The 19,910-nt window shown below is 33.7% G+C and overlaps 1 protein-coding gene across 7 annotated transcripts in view; it reads right to left on the minus strand.

Annotated features, from left to right (window-relative positions):
* Nucleotides 1-13,285: 13,285 nt before the first annotated feature.
* OLFM3 (olfactomedin 3) overlaps nt 13,286-19,910 on the minus strand; it is a 194,367-nt gene continuing 187,742 nt past the window's right edge. For all 7 annotated transcript variants that reach the window (NR_110211.2, NR_110210.2, NR_110212.2 and 4 more), the window contains 2 exons: nt 16,802-16,908; nt 13,286-15,641 (listed from right to left, as the gene is read on the minus strand). Coding sequence is in view for 4 of the 7 variants with exons in the window: in NM_058170.4 (NP_477518.2) it covers nt 14,964-15,641; nt 16,802-16,908 (785 nt within the window). In the remaining 3 variants the exon portion in view is untranslated. The remainder of the gene's footprint in view (nt 15,642-16,801; nt 16,909-19,910) is intronic.

Consider the following 19,910-nt stretch of genomic DNA (forward strand, 5'->3'; position numbering starts at 1 on the left):
GAAATAATAACACTTACTTCATGGGAGTATTTGGAGGTTTAATTAAATTAGTTCTTTGAGCTTCTTAGATGAAAGTGGCTATAGAAATGCAAAGTGCAATTATTAAAGTCATTTTTTCCTTTCCTTATGGAACAGGATGATTGAAACACATTTATTTCAATTAGAAAACTGACTAATTGCCTAATAGAAACCCTTCCTTGTGGCATATAATAGGTCAAATCTCTTTATAATTAATTGTATCATAATCTAATTCTTTATTTAGTAACAACAAAAATATAACTGCGGCAAAAGAGTTTATGTTGAGAATCATGCAATATATAAAAATTCTAATACCTTAAGGTAATAGCAATGGAATTTGGCTTATAGTCTTTTCGTGAAATGTGGTTTCTTCTACACCACCATCTATAGGGTTGATGCAATTCCCCAGCTTCTTTGTGTGATGAATTGATTACTTTTGCTTTTTGGTAAAAACAAAACAAAACAAAAAAACAAAACAAAAAAACAGTGTTATCTAAGTAAGGAGGATGCTAATTCTCTAAAAAGAAAAAGCTTCCACAAGAAAAGCAATCTGTGTATACATACTCTTATCTGGGGGTACGACCACATGATCAGGTAGTTTAGGATTAGGCCACCAGTCGGTAGGTTAAGGAATTGAGAAGTGCCAGTGTTGGAAGATCATCTGCAGTAGTAGTGTTGGAGACAGCAATGATGAGCCAGGATGCAAAATATTGGAAAAAAGCGAGTGAGATCTGAAGGTCTGCAGATGATTCTACAAAGAAATTTAATGAATGCTGAAGCCTGACAACAAGAGACTCAAAATTGAGCAATGGTGCTGTTGGAATGAGTGGACAGTGAGTGGCAATGAAGAGCATAGAGAACCCAAACTCACCTCTAGACCCAGGTGTATGAGGGCCAGTCAGAGAGGAAATAGCCTTCTTTGAAAGAGAAAGTTATGTCCCTTGGGGAGAGCTAGTTTTCCATTAGACTCAGTAGAGGTTCTCAGCATTGATAGCTTACTAGAAACATTAACGTCTCCTCAGAAACGCTAAAAGCAATACTGCTGCTGGGCCCCATCCAAGACCAAGTCAATCAGAATCCATGAGGGGTAGATTCTAGAGAACAGTATAAAAAGGCCAGTGAAACACACAAAGAGAGTCAGCTGATCTTTGACAAGGAAGCAAGGTAATGCAATAGTGAAAATATAATCTTTTCAATGAATGATGCTGGAATAGTTGGGCATCCTTCACAAAAACTAACTCAAAATGGATCAGAGATCTAAATGTAAAACATAAAACTGTAAAATTCCTAGAAGATAACATAGGAGAAAATCTAGATGACCTTTGGTTTGGCAATGATTTTTCAGTTTCAACACCAAAGGCACAATTTATGAAAAAAATTGATAAAAATTTATTAAAATTAAAAATCACTGCTTTGTGAAACACACTGTCAAAAGAATGAAAAGACAATCCACAGGCTGAGAGAAAATATTTGTAAAAGACATATCAGATAAAGGATTATCATCCAAAATATACAAATAATTCTTAACACTCAACAATAAGACCACAAACAATCCAATTAAAAATGCGCCAAAGACCTTCACAAACACCTCACTAAAGAAGATATACAGATGGCAAACAATCATATGAAACAATGCTCCACATCATATGTCATCAGATAAATGTAAATTAGAGCAGCAATGAAGTATTACTATACTATTAGAATGGATAAAATCCAGAACACTAACAACATCAAATGCTGGTGAAGATGTGAAGCAACAGGAATATTTGTTTATTACTGATAAGAATACAAAATGGTATAGTCACTTTAGAATACAGTTTGGCAGTTCCTTATAATACTAAACACACTCTTACCAAAGGACCTAGCAATTTTCCTCCTTGGATTGACCCAAAGAAATGGAAAAGTTTTGTACACCCAAAACCCTATACACAGATGTTTGTATCAGCTTCATTTGTAATTGTTAAAACTTGGAAGCAACCACAGTGCAATTCAGTAGATGAATGGATAAATAAACTGTGGTGCATCCAGAAAATGGTATAGTAGTCAGTGCTAAGAAGGAATGAATTATCAAGCTATGAAAAGACATGTAGAAAATGTAAATGCATATTAATAAGTGAAAGAAGCCAATGTAAAAAGGCAACATATTATATTATTCCAATTACACATTACAACATTCTGAAGAAGACTACATTGTGGAGACAGTAAAAAGATCAGTGGTTGCTAGGAGTTAGGAGGGAGGGAGGGGTGAATAGGTGGAGAACCGGAGATTTATAAGGCGGTAAAATTACTCTGTATAATGCTACAATGGTGGATACATGCTGTTATACATTTGTCCAATCCCATAGAATGTACAACACCAAGAGTGAACCCTGAAGTAAACTATGAACTCTAGGTGATAATGATGTGTCAGTGTAGTTTCCTCAACTGTAACATATGAAGCACTCTGATGCAGGCTATTGACAATGTGGGAAATTTTGCCTGCATAGGGACAGGAGGCATGTGGGAAGTCTCTGTACCTTCTGTGCAGTTTTGCTTGGAACCTGAAACTGCTCTAAAAAAGTCTGTTTTTAAAAAACAAGCAAAAAGCCAACAGACATTTCTCCAGAAAATTGAGGTAAGCTTAAGAACTGTTACTGTAGGCAGGTTTCCATTAGATCAAGATGAAGGGAGCTTTTGGAGCAGAGGTTAGAAAGGTGGGGGATATTGTTTATGACAAATTTTAAGTTCCAGAGGACACACTGGTTGGGAGTCAAAAATCTGAAAGTGGATGTACATGTCATAGGAAAGTAGACTGAACTCTAGTTTTAGGTTTCTTGGACCAAGGGTATTAGACTAGATGATCTCCGTCTGTGAACCTTGGGTAGTGGGATGGGGAAACAGGAAGTTCTTGTCAAGAACCGTCAGAGTTCTCTTGCTTCCCTTTTACTCTTTACCATGAGACACAGGGAAAAGGAGAAGGAAAATTCGATTCTTAACAAGTAAGGTCTTCCTTTGACCTTTGCCATTAGGAGTAGTGATGAATATAAACCACAATCCAGATTACCTTTTTTTTCCCTTCATTTTCCTTTTTTAGTAGCTACCCAAAATATCAGCCTTATTGGATGTCTTTGTTTTTAAAAATAGTTTTGATCAACATACCTTATAACGAATCATGCATTACTATTTCATGGTCATTTCTCATGCTTAGAAAACTTGTATCTCATGCAGATAAGCACTTTAGGCTTTGACAAATGAAGGACTTAGTACTAGCCAGTTAATAGATGGCATTCAATAAAAATGAAATCATCTTAACACAGCCTGACTGTTAATAACAAGAAAGGTAGAAGCAGCTTTCTCTGCTGGGGACTAAAACTCAGCATGATTCTTCTGAGGATTAAAGTCTGCAGTCTGGCCCCTTGACTATCTGAAAGTTGCTGGTAAAATGAGACTTTACAACTCCTGTGGTTCTGAGGGTCTAAGTTATAGAAAATAAAATGTACAACATCAACATGATCTGAAGACTATGTGGTTTGATTTAAGAATTTTGGAAGTCAATAAAGTGAAAACACAGTTGTTAGATGTAGGAGACCACCTGGTGGACTTAACTTTTCTTATTATCTTTTTATACTATGACACTTCTGTGGCATTTGGGGAAAATAGAAATGGGAACATGGGCAAATGGCCCAATACATCTAATTTAATCGGATTCCATTCCTATGTCATATGCAGCACTGCAGTCTTTATGCTTTCTTTACTCAACTGTATTCTGTTTCCTTAGACCATTACATCAGTCTTGCGAAGCATTTATTTTATTTTTCTGGCTGAAGCAGTAAGTGTGGGCAAAGTTCTGTCTGCAGGATGTTCTGGGGAGCCTCGAAAGGCAAGATACTTATGACTGCAACAGATGTCGATGATTTTTAAGAAAATGCTGACTTTATACTGTGGATCTCTACCTCCCTTAGGGAAAAATAAGAAGTTTCCAATTGCCTGCAAGCTATAAGAACAGAAGGGCTAAACGGCCTAGCTATAAAAGTGGAACACTAAAATTCTGATGAGGAACAAAAATAACAGAAGATTTATCTCAGTTATTATTAGAGGGGAAGAAAATTTGTCTCTCAGTGGTTCATTCTTTGGTTATGGTTCCACAGATACGATTAAGAGGTTAAAAAATGTAACCCTACATTCCGAAATACTCATCTCTGTTTCAATATGATTTAAAAAAAATTAAGCTGACCACAGAAGTGCAAATATTCCCTACTGTTAGTTTAGTATTATTATTAGTACGAGTAGTGGTGGAGTAGTAGAAACAATAGTTGTACAAAGTCTTAATCATATTTTTCCACTGTTACCACATTATAGGTAAAAATAACTGAGGCATTTGGTTGGTGTTATTGCAGACTCCAGATTTGAGGTTTCTTTTAACCTGCTACCTAATAACTGTGTTTAGGCAAACATGTATTTGATCCTATTAGGTATATGAACACAAAAAATTCAAAGCAATTAAAAAATGAATAGAGAAATAAACAACTAAACAATATCAGATGTTGAGATATACATGTTGGAATTCTGACTTTGAGATAATGGTTTTTTTTTTTAAAAAACAATTGATTGCTTCATTCTTTCATTTGTTCATTCATTTTTTCAACATTCATTGGGAAACCTCTATATTCCAGGCACTAAGCTAGGCACTGCAACTAAAAAACATGAATAACACAGCGATAGTCTCTGTCATAATGGAATTTACTTGCTGTTTGGCAGTGTACGAGAATTAGAGAAAATAAGCAGGTTCAAAAATATGAAACTGAGTCTTGCAGCATTTAACGAAGTGACCAATAGAGAAAATAAGCCTACAGAGCACGCGGTGAGAAACAGAGATGTTCTCCTAGGTCATCAATGGCTCTTATGAAATTCCTCAAGCACTGTGGACTGCAAAGTTCATAAAAGAAGCCCATAAGTTTGCCTTTAATTAGTTTCTGTGTCCACAGTAACCAACATCTAGTTTATTTAGTAGTTACCCTTGGTATTTTTTGAACACACCATAGATATTTACTGAATGAAGGAGTGAATTGTTTCAACTCAATCAACTTGTATATAACTTAAACTTCTTTTTTTAATTCTTACTAAAAGCTTGACTTTATCTTCTTACATTGCCTTTATCTTTTCTTTATTATTCATTTATGATCTAAACTGATTTTGGGGATCTCCCTGGTTTTGGTGAAAGTCAAACATTAAGGTGTCAAGAAGCTTTCACTGGACCTAAGAAGCCTCAAAATCAGCCTAAAGAAAGTCCCAGAGAGGATAAAGACTCAAGGAGGAATTTCAGTGTAGTACAAACATATTTATATAATACTAAATACTCCAATTCCCTTTGGAGAGTCATTAGAGGAGGCGTTGCTTCTATTTCTTAGAACCACTAGAAATTGAATCATTCCTCCAGAGTAATGAACCTAATATGAGTTGCTGTGGTGAAATCCTTGTTCAAAAACAAGGTTTATTTGAGCAGATTTTATAGCACCATTAGTCAGCTTCTGACAGAAATTGGTCTGACAAACAGCTCACATATATTTGGGAAAGTAATTAATTGTGCTATTATGTCAAGGACAAGGTTTTGTTTGTTTGTATAATAGATATGTGAACTTGCTCTTTCCTGAAAATCATTTCACCAATATCACTGTATACTCCTGCAGAAACCAAAAACACATACTTTCTTGTGAATTTGTGTGACTCTTGTTTTACCTTTCTTTTTAATTTTGATGCTATATACAGAATTATTTGGCCTGAGTAGGCGTTACATTGGTCTGGGAAGCATAAGTGAAAATTTCGACAAGAGAGGAAAGATGACATTCAGAATGTGGATACTAGATAAGCTTAGAGGAAAGAAGTCTGTATTGTGCATTTGTTGACAAGGATGGAGACTGAATGACTGGATGAGTATTTGGAGAATAATGAAAATTAAGTTCTAAATGTCCGGCGGATACTGCCAGTACAGCTTAAAATTGATGTAATGGGAAACAGAAAGCGGTTTGTTGATGAGCAAAGGTGTGTTATAAATGTTTTATGAATATGAACCTGATGGAATAATGCAGGTTCCATTTTGTGTGGAGAGAGAGTGGAAGAAATATCTGTCAGCAGCATATTGTAGTATATTTTCCAGATAGAAGGTGGTGAAACCTTGTGTCACTTGTAGTGCTGGTGTGAGTCAGTAAGATTGAGGAGAAAGTCTTTTGGAAGAAGAAATAACAGATTTGTGTATTTTAGTAAGAATTTGGACATAGGGAATGAAGGTGATGGAAGAGTTAAATGTGTCCAGAAGAATAGTGATATTATTTATCAAATATAATGGTTTAGCTGGTCAAGTTAGCAACATATAGAACCTACTTAGCAGAAATCACTATGTTAATATAAATGTTGTTCTTGACTCCAGGAGATTCATAGTCTAGGGTGGGAAGTGGACAAGTAAATAGATATTTATTTGTAGTTCAATTGCTGTGATAGAGATAAGTACAAGGTAATATATGACAGCACACAAAAAGGAGCAAATCACACACCTAAGGGAATAGTTAGGAAAGCTTCCTAAAAGAACAAAAATTTAAGATCATCTCTGAAACAGGGGCAAGAAGTAACCAATTAAGAAAGATATGACAGACAGTGTTATAGGTAGAAGTGACAGCAGGGAGAAAATGAAGAGGAGTGAAACCTAAATTCTTATTTGTTGAGGATGATGAAGGGTTGTGTATAAGGAGGTGTATAAGGTTGTGTTTAAGGAGATTAGACTTTGTATCCCCTAAGAAGATGGTGTGGGAGAGATTAGTCCATTTATGGAGATATTACCTTGAAATTCATTGAACATTTGCATGCAGATATCATTTAGATAGCTAGAAATGCTAAAATTGCAGATGTGAGATGAATTTGGAAGTAATTCAGTAATAGCTGAAGAAAGTGATAGGAGGAGTTCTTAAAAGTAGTGTAATGAGGAAAGAGCCATAGACTTTTGAACTGAGGTGTGGGAGAGAATATTCCTAGGTAAGTAGCAAGTTTAGTCAAATAATAGCAATATGAAATGTTTGTCTTTGTTTTAACATAATGTAGGTAACTCTCCAGAAACTACTTAAAAACTTTTGGAAACTGAATTGGTAAACTTTTATTTTATTTCTCCTTTCCCTCTGGTATTTTCCCTTTCAATCTGAGCTACAGAACCATGAGTTCCAGTTCATGCACAGTCTTTATTGATCTTTTAGAATCACAGATTAGTAGAAGGTTAGAGAAGGAAGAAAGCTCGGAGACCATCTGGTTAAGTGGTTTTCATACTATTTTTTTTAAACCACAAAATGTTTTCTGACCAAAAAAAAAAAAAAAAAAAACCCAACATAGAAACATTTTTAAAAGTAGATAAAAGTAAGGTTGTCTTTATTGGAGCTGATGAAAGAGTTTGTGATTTATTATATTGTCTCAATTAGGTTCATCTATCCTTTTATGGTAGACTCAGAAGAAAACCTCAAGCTCGAAAGAGCAGCTTTTGAAAACTATGCCCAATATTTTCATTTACAGAAAAAAAACTTTGCTCAGAGACGTATCATTATATTTAACTTTAAAACAAATATTCTGCCTTCTGGAAGAATTGCTTACATTATATAAAGAATTGTTCTTCACTGATGTTACTTAAAAGGCTTTACCAGGTGCCTTTACTTAGAAACTGGACTGATTAATGAACATCAGGCTTCTTGTTGGTGTACCCCTTGAAAACATGGGCTAAGGAAGGAGGGGGTAACTCCTTCATCTTTCCCTGGCCTTGGTAGTACATGTCCCTTTGATAAAACTCTGTCTGTTCTGCCAAAGACAAATCATATTTCTATGAAAAGTTTTTACTTAAAGGAGAAAAGGGAAAGTCGGGAATCAAATGTTGAGTGGGTGAAAGTTAAAATGTTTTTTTTATTTTAAAAACAGGTATTAATGAGAAAAATAACAAAAATAACTATGGGAGCCCTTTTAAGCTTTTTTTCCCTGGAATAAAATGTACTGTATCAGGAAGGGGCCCACTCACCCAAGAGAGCAAATTAAGCCTAGTTTTACCTTCTTGACACTTCTTATGTTTAGAATTTTACCTTAGTAAGATATAGAAATATATTTCCAATAAAATAAATTTGGAAAAGTTAATTTATCATGATGTTTCCAGAATGAAACAAATATTTTAGTGTTTTTATGTATGGTAAAGAGGTTACTTGACCACTTATACTTCTTTGGTTACTAACACTTATTTTGGTTTTACTCTGTCAGACACTTTGCCAGGGGCAGGTATGTAAGGCAAAGATCCATTGACCCCACTCTTGAGGAGTCCACACTAAACATGAAGGAAACAAATCATTGCAATGTGGTGTGATAATTTGATAATACAAAATCAATACAAAGGGAACACAAAATAATGATGTTTCTATATGAAATAAGATGATGTCTTCAGTAAATTCTAAAAGATGAATCAAAATTTAATGAAAGAGAGTTCGCGGTTAACCTTGAAGTGAATTATGAGGGAGAGTATATACCTCACTCTTTCATCTGAGTTGGAAAATAATGGCTTACTTCGTCAGGGAACATTTCATAAAGCAGTAGCTGATGGCAGTACTCCTTGGCCAAAGGAAAAAGTAAAACTGGTTATACAGGAAAGGTAACAGAGGTCAGTAAACAAAAGAATCATTTCGAAACAGGGCACCAAATTCTGGGCATAGAGATGGAGATCGGGAAATTGATTGAATGACAGCTGAAATCACTGAGTGAACAGAAAAAATTGGAAGATACTTGCTGAGAACAAATACTTGGAACAGGCATTTATTTACATGATTAGATTTTATCTTTTCATAAAAATCTGATAATGTAAGAAATTGTTCAACTTCTTTTTCTATGTATACTTCATATTCCAAGAATAGTTTCTAATGAAGTTTAATAAAGATACTAGAGAGAGAATGAAAATACTTATTTTTATTATTTTTGGTTTACATTGAAATGGAAGCTAATGGGTAAGTCTTCTCAAGTCCTTTATAAGAAAAAGTCAAAGTAAACATCACTGATGGAAACAGCCTCAATTCTGTACTCAACATGACTTTATCTGCGTGTGACTGCAGTTTTTTTAATATAAACATTTTTAAAAATCCTGAAGCTATAGATTATGCGCACGTCAACTACCATAGTTTCTAAACCATGGCAAGTGTTAAAAGCTTTCTCTTTGCTGTTTATATGTTGCTGCAGTAGCTAATTTCAGAAAAGGAATTTGCAGTTAAATTTGATGGAGCACACTGCATCTGCTCAATTGCAGTCAGAGTCTAATGGTGCTGCCAAAAGGCTGCATTAGCATTATAAGACAATGTTCTCCAGACTCAGATAGATGTAGGACAGACTTCATAATAGAGACTCTTGGGTCACTGAATCTAACAAGAATGTGCCTGTAAGGCTCTGTCACAGAAAAATAACTGGATTCAGTCATATATCTATATAATCTCCTCAGAGGTTTTACAAGGAACAACTTCATCTTGAGTTCTTATGAAAACAAAACACAAAAAATTACTGATACTAGGATGTTGATTTCTTTTCTTTCTGAATCAAGCTGAAATTCTTGAAGATTGCAAGAAAGATGACAGCCATTCAGTGCTTGTTATAAGGATATTTAATAAATTTGGGATTAAATTAGATTAAATTGACATAGTAGTGGTATTCTGGGATATGGATTTCTTTGGAAATCTGATGAAAACTGGAAATCCTCTACCAGAAAGAGTACACAACCACATCTATATAATAAATTTAGCGTACATTTTCAGGGGGTTCAGCCATTCCCAGAAGGGTATTTTTGGATTTCAATTTAAAAACAAAACAAAACAAAACAAAAAAACTTCTGTAACTGAGAAATGTTGGGAATATTTGGTCCATGGATTTCTAAGAACAGAAATAAAGAGGACAAATTATTTTACATGGAACAAGTCACGATGTTTCATTCTTTGAATGAATTTACCATGGCAGGCTTCTTCTAAGGGAGACCTCCCTTGACTATCTCCTCTAAGCATTATTTCTTATCCCACCTTACCCCTAGCAAAGGCAGTCACTCTTTATCATATATATTTTTTATTTTTTCACAGCAATTGATACAACCAGAACTTACTTTTTATTAATTTTTTGTTGCAGCAGCCTGTTCCCATTAGAATGTAAGCACATGAACACCTTATTTGTCTGTTGACGGCTATAACCCTAGCATCTAGAATGTCGTCTGGGAATACATAATGCAGTAGCATGTGGTTGTAAAGTTGGCTAACTACCCACTGGTAATATATATGAATTCATGTTAAGTCAAGAATGATATGGACAAACAGCCGGCTGGAAATATATTACTGTAGCATGATAAGCTTCCATAACACACTTAAATGGTCAGTGTTTCTTTTATTCAGCTAATTTCTTGCTCCATTTAAACATTTTTTGTCACAAAATATTAATTTTCTTAAAATGCCTATTTATATGCAATGTTTTCAAGTCTTAATTGTGGTAGGGAATATATATTATGGCACTAATAATATAAATGACTCTTAGTCATTTATAAAAATCAGCTGCAAGCTCTTCCGGGCATAATATAACATTGATAGGGATGAAACATGACACTGAACTGCATAGATGTGTATGGTTTACTAGCAGACTTCTCAGGGCACCAAAATATTCCCAAGAACTTTTCCATGTTCACCATATCACTTCATATCTTTAACTACGAATAATTATATTTATATTATTTTTTTAGATTGTCCTAGATATAAAATATAAAAGTTACTATATCCTCTTAGCAACGTATAACTTTATTCCTTTCTTTTATGTCACTTTTAAGTCATGTTTAATAATAATTTATATCTGTAAAACCTATTTGACACTTGATAAACCGAACTTCAAAGGGAGTAAGTTTTATGCCAACCAGTTTGACATTTTGGAGACAAGGCAGGCTCCAAACAGGATTAAAATTCCACTATGCCTGGTAGATCAACCAGAAGAGAAAAACTGCATATCATAATTTTAAGATGTAAGTCAGATAAATCAGTTTGGTAAAATCAGTTGGGGGAAACATTTTTTTTTCTGATTGGCTAACTGCTAGAGCAAATAGTTTTCTATTCTTTATTCAGGAGATTTTCAAGATTTGCATTCATCGTTTCTTAGAAAAATAATGAAAAAATTTTCATGAAGTTGTTTTTTCTTCCATAAGTTAGTGCTGTCATTATTTTATTTTCTAGTATAAGGCCAACAATGCAAAAGAACAGATTTTATTAAGTCCCAGACTTTCTCTGAATCCACTAGTGATGACAAATTGTTAGCTAATAGTTTTATGCTGAGTTTAGTTAACTTTTAGAATGAGAAATGATTCTACAATCTTGATTTCAGTATGGATACTGCTTGCTGAGTGAATATTTATGACTCTGGGCCTTTCTATAAATAACTGTTTAAAGCTATAAACATTAAGTAATGAAGGCTTTGTTTCATCCTATAGAGTCCGCATATAATTCATGCTCCTTTCCTAGAACACTAGGTAGACTATTTCATAGTAGCTTGTCTCATGTTCTACTTATCATCTGATGATGGAGAAAGTGAAGTACACTTTGTTTCTAGATGTCCATTTTTTTTAAGCTTATAAACAACAGAAATGTATTTCGCACAGTTCTGGAGGTTGGGAAGTCCCAGCTCAAGGTGCCAGTACATTCTGTGTCTGGCGAGGGCCCTTTTCCTGCTTCATAGATGATTCCTTCTTGCTGCAGTGAATAGAGTAGCTCTTCTTCCTTCATGAGCATCCAACCTTTGATCATGTCATGGGAACTTTATCACACAGAGTACAACAAAGAATATAATCATAACTACTCTAACAAGTCAACAAGATGACATTTTGGATTCTGTTTTCCAAAGTATTATATTTCTATAAAGCTTGACTTTTAAATACTCTGCAGTGGCTAAAGTGATCAGATAAGTTTTTAAATTTTTTTGTAAATTATTCTTTAAGGAGAATAACACTAAAGAACTATTACATGTAAAACTTACCTTAATAGGGAAATAATTGGTTTTATTTTGAAATGAACATAAGCATAATTTTATATAGTTACATTTTTAAAATAATTTTGCTGGTTGAAAAATTCATACACCTAAATTTGGTAATTATTTTAAGATATAAAAGCTTGTTGTTTCTTATTAAAAGAAGAAACGATAAGAAATTAACATTATTTTCTGAAGAGAAGATCTCATCAGAGAGAATAATACTGACTACAAAGGTGAAATGACTCCATGAGTATGGAGACACGAATCAGAGATTCGGAGTTTGTAATGAATCTTAACTAATCATAGTTCTATTTATATAACACATCTGCTGTTCTTTTTTCTTTTATCTCTACATATTGGAAACATACTGAAATACTATCATTATCTGAACTCGTAGATGTAAGTTTAGGTGCAAATAATAAGCATTGTGATTCAAGCGCCACAAATAACACACAAACACAATCAGACCATGAACATATTATTATTTGAGTGATATGAAAGCTTGTTAATGTTCTGGCCAATTCAGAAAATATCAGTTACGTAGTTCAGTTAGGATTAAGACTTTCTGAGCTTGGATTTCTCCAATGCTTTGATTATGTGCGTGATTTAAAAATACTCATTATTTCCCTCGTAAGATTTATTTTCTTTGTTGGAGATTAAAAAAACAGTGAATAGAGTAGTTCTTATTTATTTCAGGCAAAAAACTGATAATAATTTATTAAGAAAAAATGCTTTTAAACTGTAAATGTTTAATGATTATCACATTTTAAAATTCATGTTTCCCCACTTCTAGTGACAATAATAATATCTGTGCTTGCTCTAGCAGCACATACACTATAAATTGGAAATCATGATAAAATCTTACATAGAAAACAATAAAGTGGTTTGCAAGTTTCATACCTCATGAATAAGCTGTGATCAGCCAAATTGTGAATGTATGTGGTACCATATAACATCATTTTAAACAAGTAATGATGATCCAGATATCTATTAGAGGCTATCTACTTAAAATTTCATTCATTTTTAAAATTAAAGTGACTTTCTTTCCTCATACAAACTCAATATATGGAACACAGACTGGTTGTTTTTGTGGTGTGTGTACAATGACAAGTGAATCTCTTAAATTTTCCAACTCCCAGTAGCAAACCAGAGCTTATGTAAACTCGTTAAAAAAAGAATAAAATATTGCAAAAGGACCCAGAGTAGTCATTCAATCATGTTAACTTTTTGTAGGCAAAAAAAGAAATCATTGTTAAACCTTGACAGTTTCAAGATTGGGTTATTTAATTCTACAATTTTGACAGTGAGATATTTGAGGATGATGCTTTACTTGTGACATTTGAAATGAATTACACTTAAATGTTAGGATTTCTTTACATGATGCTTTATCTAAATCATTACATCCTTATCTTTCAAAGAAAATCATGGTACTATGTATGTGTGAAACTAAACATTTAAAACAATTTGTTTTATTATTTATTATAGAATATACTTTTTAAATTGTAAAACCAACCTATATTAGTTTCCATAAAGCTGCCTTAGGGAACTATTTTTTTAATATGTGGAAAATACATCCAAACTCAATGAAATGTTTGATATATAGTTAGCTTATATGTTTCATAGAGTTATTAACATAAGTATTATTAAAGCTCTTCCCTTTTGGTTACATTATTTTTCCACATACAGTGAATCAAGGTAACAAGGGGTCGTTTTTCCATTTTGTTTTCTGAATTGGTTATTTACACTTTTGAAACCACAAAGACAACTCCCAAGTCTCCCCATATTTTATTTTGCACAAATCTTGCCAATAACTCCTCAGGGCTCATAATCTAAATCTAGAGGACATTACAGAATTTTTTTTTTCTAAGAGTTTTCAAATGTGCTTATTTTCAGGGTCCTGACATAAGGAATTTCATTATTGCAAGTTGTATGTAAAATATAAATTAAATGCTAGTACATTTAACTATGAAGAACAAAATTTCTTTAGTGTATAATAAATGAGTAGAGTCAACTCAAATCCAATATTTGGAATCCAGATGCACCTTGTGCAAGAAACTATATGGGTTGCATTCAGTGGAGTGAACAGAGTAACTCAGTTGTATGAAATCAGTTGTTGCATTCAATGTCAGTGGCCCAAAAAACTTGGGGTAAAATAAAGACTCTATGTCAGGTGTCTGGTTTGGTTTTCATTTTAGTTTATAATGCTTATGTAAAGGGGTAAGCCAAGAAGATTATTCTTGACCACACTTGAAAATGGACTCAATTACTGAGGTTAAATTTCAGTGTATTTTATAAAAAATATTACTTTCACAGAAGTGAAGAGATACAATAGCACAATGGTGGTTACAATGGTAGAAATACATACTGCCAATAAAATGTTAGCAAGAGATTTAAAAATGACTGTACAGCACCGCATCAGAGAATTGTGTTAACAGCAAAATGATTAATATTATTTTTCAATATAAATGAAATCCTTACATTTTTTAAAGAAATAAATGGGATAAAAGTGCTTTTTGTTCTCCTAATTCCTACCAAAATATTTCCTGATATGGAGCAAAAGACAGTAAAAAATGACAGTTTTAAAAAAAAAGACATTCGTGCATTTAAGCCACCATTAGTCTCTGACTCTAATATAAGGCAGATCATTAATCTCTTGCAAAACTATGACTTTAGCCACTTAAACTCTTTTTTTTTTTAGTGCTTTTCATGACAAGGACATGATAGGCCTTGTAAATTTAGAAGTTAAGATGTGTTTCCAACATGGTAAGTTAGACAAGCTCAGCTATGTTTTTGAAACACCAACTTTACAATAAAAATGCTTTGCTTTGGAGAAATGATGAAAAATAATAGTGAAGAAAAAAACGGAAGGGGTCTTATAGAGTTTATCACAAATCACACTGTTTAAATCAATGAAAACATGTCACATTTGCCTATGTGTCATCCTCTGTCTTGATGATATGGAAAAGGGTGACATTGAACAGCACCTGGTGGCCATTGTTCCAGGCATAGAGAGCTCGATCTCTTGCATTGTAGTCAAGCATGGATATGTGAAAGTATTGGTTATGGAAGGGAATGTCTGTGTACTCATATGTGGAGGTTTTGGTGGAATAGGAATAATACACCTTGGCTCCAGTTAAGTGGGAGTTGGTGACATACAGTGTCCCACAGATCATGAAAGATTCCCCTGCACTTCTCTTGGGGTAGCCAGTGCTCCAGCTCTTCATCACCTCCAAGGTATCTTGGTTAAGTTGGCTGATGACAATATTGCCTGCATTCTGGTTAGTTGCATACACAGCCCACAGCCCGATTTCATCAGCCATTAGGTCGATGTCAGAGAATCCACCCCATGTGTAGGGGTAAACATTATGAAAACCAGCATACTCCAGGCTTCGTTGGGCAAGCACTCTCCCCATATCAAAGCTGTATTTGATGATGATATTACTCTGATACTTGTTAAAATAGAGTGAGCCATTGTAGACAACATGGTTAGTTCCTGCCCACTTGAAAGGAAGGTTGTATGTCCTTGATTCAGCCCCACTGACAAAGTCTGCAATTGATTTGTATTCACGAACAATTTTATTGTTAGTATAACTGTCCATGTACCAGACCTGAGAAGAAGGAAAAAAATAAATGGAGTGACTAAATTCTGTACTTTTCTGATAACCCCAAAAGAAAGACAGTGAGAGTCAACACTTATTATAATTCTCAGGCTCTGGAAGCCACACTATCTTACTGCTGACCTGCCGCAATGTATTTCAGGCTTTTGTAAAAATATTGCTATGGTCTGTCCATGTGGAAAAGAAATAACTGAATTTACTACCTTGACATTAATTTGCTTTTTTGCTTTTTCTCTCTTTGTTTTTTAAATTCCTGACCATTTGGTGCATATCACTGAGTGAACCAATCATATGTCAATGCAAATTACACCTGATAAATAATGCCATCAGTGAAAACTACAGCAAATACAACCTTCAGCAAATTACATTTATTCTATCCCTTGCTCTGAAAAAAATGTATAGTCTAGTTTTTCGTATTCAATTGAAATAAGTACCATAGAATCTTCTAGAAACACTTGTTTATTGGGCTAGCCTGTAAGTACAACTACATTTTAAAGAAACCATTTTACTAACTTAATAACTAACCTCATTTAGAAATAACCCTAGAGAATCTTAATTTTTACTGAGTTCTGTAATAGGACATAAATAGAGCTATGGCAAGTTTCTAGTATATTGATTTATATAGCACAGGCATTGTCAACTTATGAAAATACCTCCCAGAAGTTTCAGCGCTATTTCTTTTAAAATTACTTCTAGACTCCAGGGATATTTAAGCTTATTTAGTAAATTGGTTTTGCCCTTGAGTTTTTCACTTATTTAGTCCTATTTTTTCATACTAAAGAACATATTTTAGAAAGAGTAGGCAGGGAAGTTTGCCCTTGAGTTTTTCACTTATTTAGTGCTATGTTTTCATACTAAACATATTTTAGAAAGAGTATACAGGAAATTAGCCCCTTTCAAGCATAAAACATGACTAAAATCAATAAAAATTAGATTTGCTAAAGTGATGAATTGGAAGATGGAACATTTTACTAAAATAGATTTGTCATTCTTTCGTAGATATGTTAATATTATCAAACAGAAAATATTTGCAAATTATGTACCAGTTTTCAAGTACAAACAAATATCCCTGAAGAAAATGAATAGTCCAGAAGAGAAAAAGTGTAAGCAGAACTTAATTCTAAGCAAAGGTGTTTGTGGGAGAAACATACTCTGTTGTTTTTCTCAGATGCTAAAGGGTCTGTCATCCAAGCACCAAATCGGGTTCCAGATGTCTTGACTGTAACTGGGCCTGTGATTTTCATCAGTTTGCCACATGCTGAAATTAGAGAAACACAAACGTGTTAGGTGAACGCAGCCAATGATTCCAATACGCATACTCACACTAAGAGCAAAGAAGGGGATCATAAAACTAAGCCAATCCATGGAATTAATATCACATTTCTGAATAAATGATTATTCACAATGGGTGCTGGGCCTTTAACCAAACATTGAACCATGAGGAGTTGCTTTTTCAATGCTCCAAATTTTAAACATAAAAATTTAAAGTGGGAAATGATTTGTACAATCCGGAAAGAAATAAATGAGGAATATCATTATCATTATACCAGTTCAGTGGCTGCTACTTTTAAGTAAAAAGTTAGACAAATGAAGCAAATTGCCCATAGACCTGTTTAGTTGATGGCCAGAAACTCCTTCCCTTCCCCTGTCCCCATGCTTTGTGACTATGGATAACTTATACCAGCCAGAAAAACACTACCAATTGATTTTCATTCTGTTTGGCAAAGAAGAAGCCCCCAAGAAAGATAACTTTACAGTCTATAAGAATAAAACATTCAATCACAGTCTATAAGAAAGAGGTAGAGATTTTAAAGGTAAATGCCTTATACAGCTAACAGGTCTGACAGGGCAGATATGAACACACAAAGAACAAAACCCCCAAAACTCAAACCTTCAGACCCTGAAGTCACATACAGATGAAAGATGAAGAGATGTAATACGTGACAAAAAGACTTTAATGAAAAAAGTTGTAATATTTTTATCAGCCCAGCCCACCTGTGAATAAGATCTTAGAAATAGCTTGGACTTCATAAATTCCAAAGCCAAAACCAAACAGAAAGCTAGACATTTTTGTGAGATTTTAAAAAAAGATTACTATAAAGTTTTAACTGTATTTTAAAATAATGTTTTTGTCCCTTTACCTGGATTATATTAGTTTGGGTCACTTATTATGCTTATCTTTCTTTTTTATTTATTTTAAGTTCAACTTTTATTTTAGGGATACATGTGCAGGTTTCTTACATGGGTATATTGCACCCAGGTAGTAAGCATAGCACCCAATATATAGTTTTATGAGATTTTTGAACAGCAAAATTTAGAAGTGATTTATTAATCATACACATTGTGAAAGGCAATATGACTGCCTATAAAATGTTGGGTTTTGGTCTAAACAAAAGTCTTCTTTCTTGTCCATTTATATCATGTTATTTTCTTCTATTTCTTTTCTTAAAACTCTTTTGGGTCCTACTTGTTCTACATATCTTCTTTCCTCCTCTGACTATTTAGAATTGATCAATTTCTATTAGTTCCTGTTGGTTCTTGTTTTTTTGGAAAGAAAAGAACACATACCCAAAGCAAATCAAAGACAAACTAACTATAACTTGAAGCTTATTTTGGCTCAGTTTTCTCTATATGTGCTTCTTATAAGAATAATTTATAATTGGCAGAATACTAAGCTTTGCAGTTAGGAAGATGATGAATGGTAACATTATATTTTGCACTACTAGTTTAGTGATAACTACAAATTTAATAATCTCTAGCATTTCATAAAACTTGAATCGAATATATTTTTCCCTTTTTGTAAAAGAAATCAAATGTGATGGCATCATTATATCCATAGTGTGGGTTACTTTATGATTTCCTCAAATCAGTAAAACTGGACCAATAATTCAGAAGACTTTATGACATTATCTATGGAATTGCAAGACCTTGCATTAAGCCTATTTAGAATATATAAGCTCTACTTGGTACAAATACATAAACAATATATGAGTAAAGTAGTATTGGTTTGAACTAGAAAATGTTAATCATATTCTGAATGGTTCTAGTTGAGTATATTTTCTGAATGCAGAATAAGTAGAAGTAGTATTATTTTTAATAATGTCCTATATACATTTTTTAATCAACTGATGATATGAGCATAACAATTTCAAGTGTAAGTAGAGTGTAACAAATAGAAGGGCCTCTCTTTTCCCCTAAAAACGTCATAAAACATGTGATTTTTTTTCTAAGCATGGAAAAGTAATTCTGACTTAAGATGATGGAGTGATACATGATTTTATCTGCTTTCATTTTCTATGATCTCATTAAAATAATAGTAAAGGAGTAAAACATGAGGGGAAAAAAACAAAAGAAAAAAAGCAAAGCAAAGGTACAAGAGCCATTAGTGAAGAAGTTTTAACCAATTTCCAGAAGGCAGGGTTGATGAAAAGTGGTCATTAAAGATGAAGATGGAATAAGATGCATTTGTGTCTATGCAGAGCAAGTGAGACCCGAGGAGGGAGATGATCTGCCTTGAAGAGAAAAAAGAAAGGAGTCAGAAACATAAGTAGAAAGAATGCTAGGAGTGAGATGGGACTCTGAAATCAGGCACACCACTTAAACCATGCCTTAAGAGCAATTGATTACATCTTCATCTGTAGATGCGGGACTGCAGAAGGCAAAGGAAAAAAAATATGAAACTGTGTTGGTGATCTGAGTATACCTAGGGTGATTAATACAGACATTGGAGGGCCAGAAGAAAGCCTCCTACACAATGACGTTGGTGGTTTCCCTGCCTACTCACCACAGAAAGAACTGCCAAGCCCTATCTTAATAACAGGAGTTTCCAAGCACATTTATTGTTCAAAACTTTAAAAATATATGTATAACCGAGGATGGCCAGATATTTTCAAAAAGTTTGTAAGAATGACTGATGTAAATGTTCAGAAAAACCAGGGCTCCCCACAGAAGAGATAACTCAGAGGATAGACAAGATCCTAGTACCTTCTAAGAGATTTGTATAATATATACTGAGTATTGTAAAAGGAAAACACAAAAGAACTATTAGAAAACAAAAATATAATTATATTAAAAAATAGATTGCAAGATAAAAAGAGTTATCTCCAAAATAAAGCAAAAGAGATAAAAATGAAAATAAGAGAAAAAATATGGAGGCATCTAGGATCAATCTAGAAGCTCCAACATCCAGAGAGCAAGGTTTCTAGAATGAAAGGAGAGAGAAAAAGAGGGGAGAAAATTATCAAAGAAATTATACAGGAA

Source organism: Homo sapiens, chromosome 1, assembly GCF_000001405.40.
Source record: "Homo sapiens chromosome 1, GRCh38.p14 Primary Assembly".
Taxonomy (NCBI): Eukaryota; Metazoa; Chordata; class Mammalia; order Primates; family Hominidae; genus Homo; species Homo sapiens.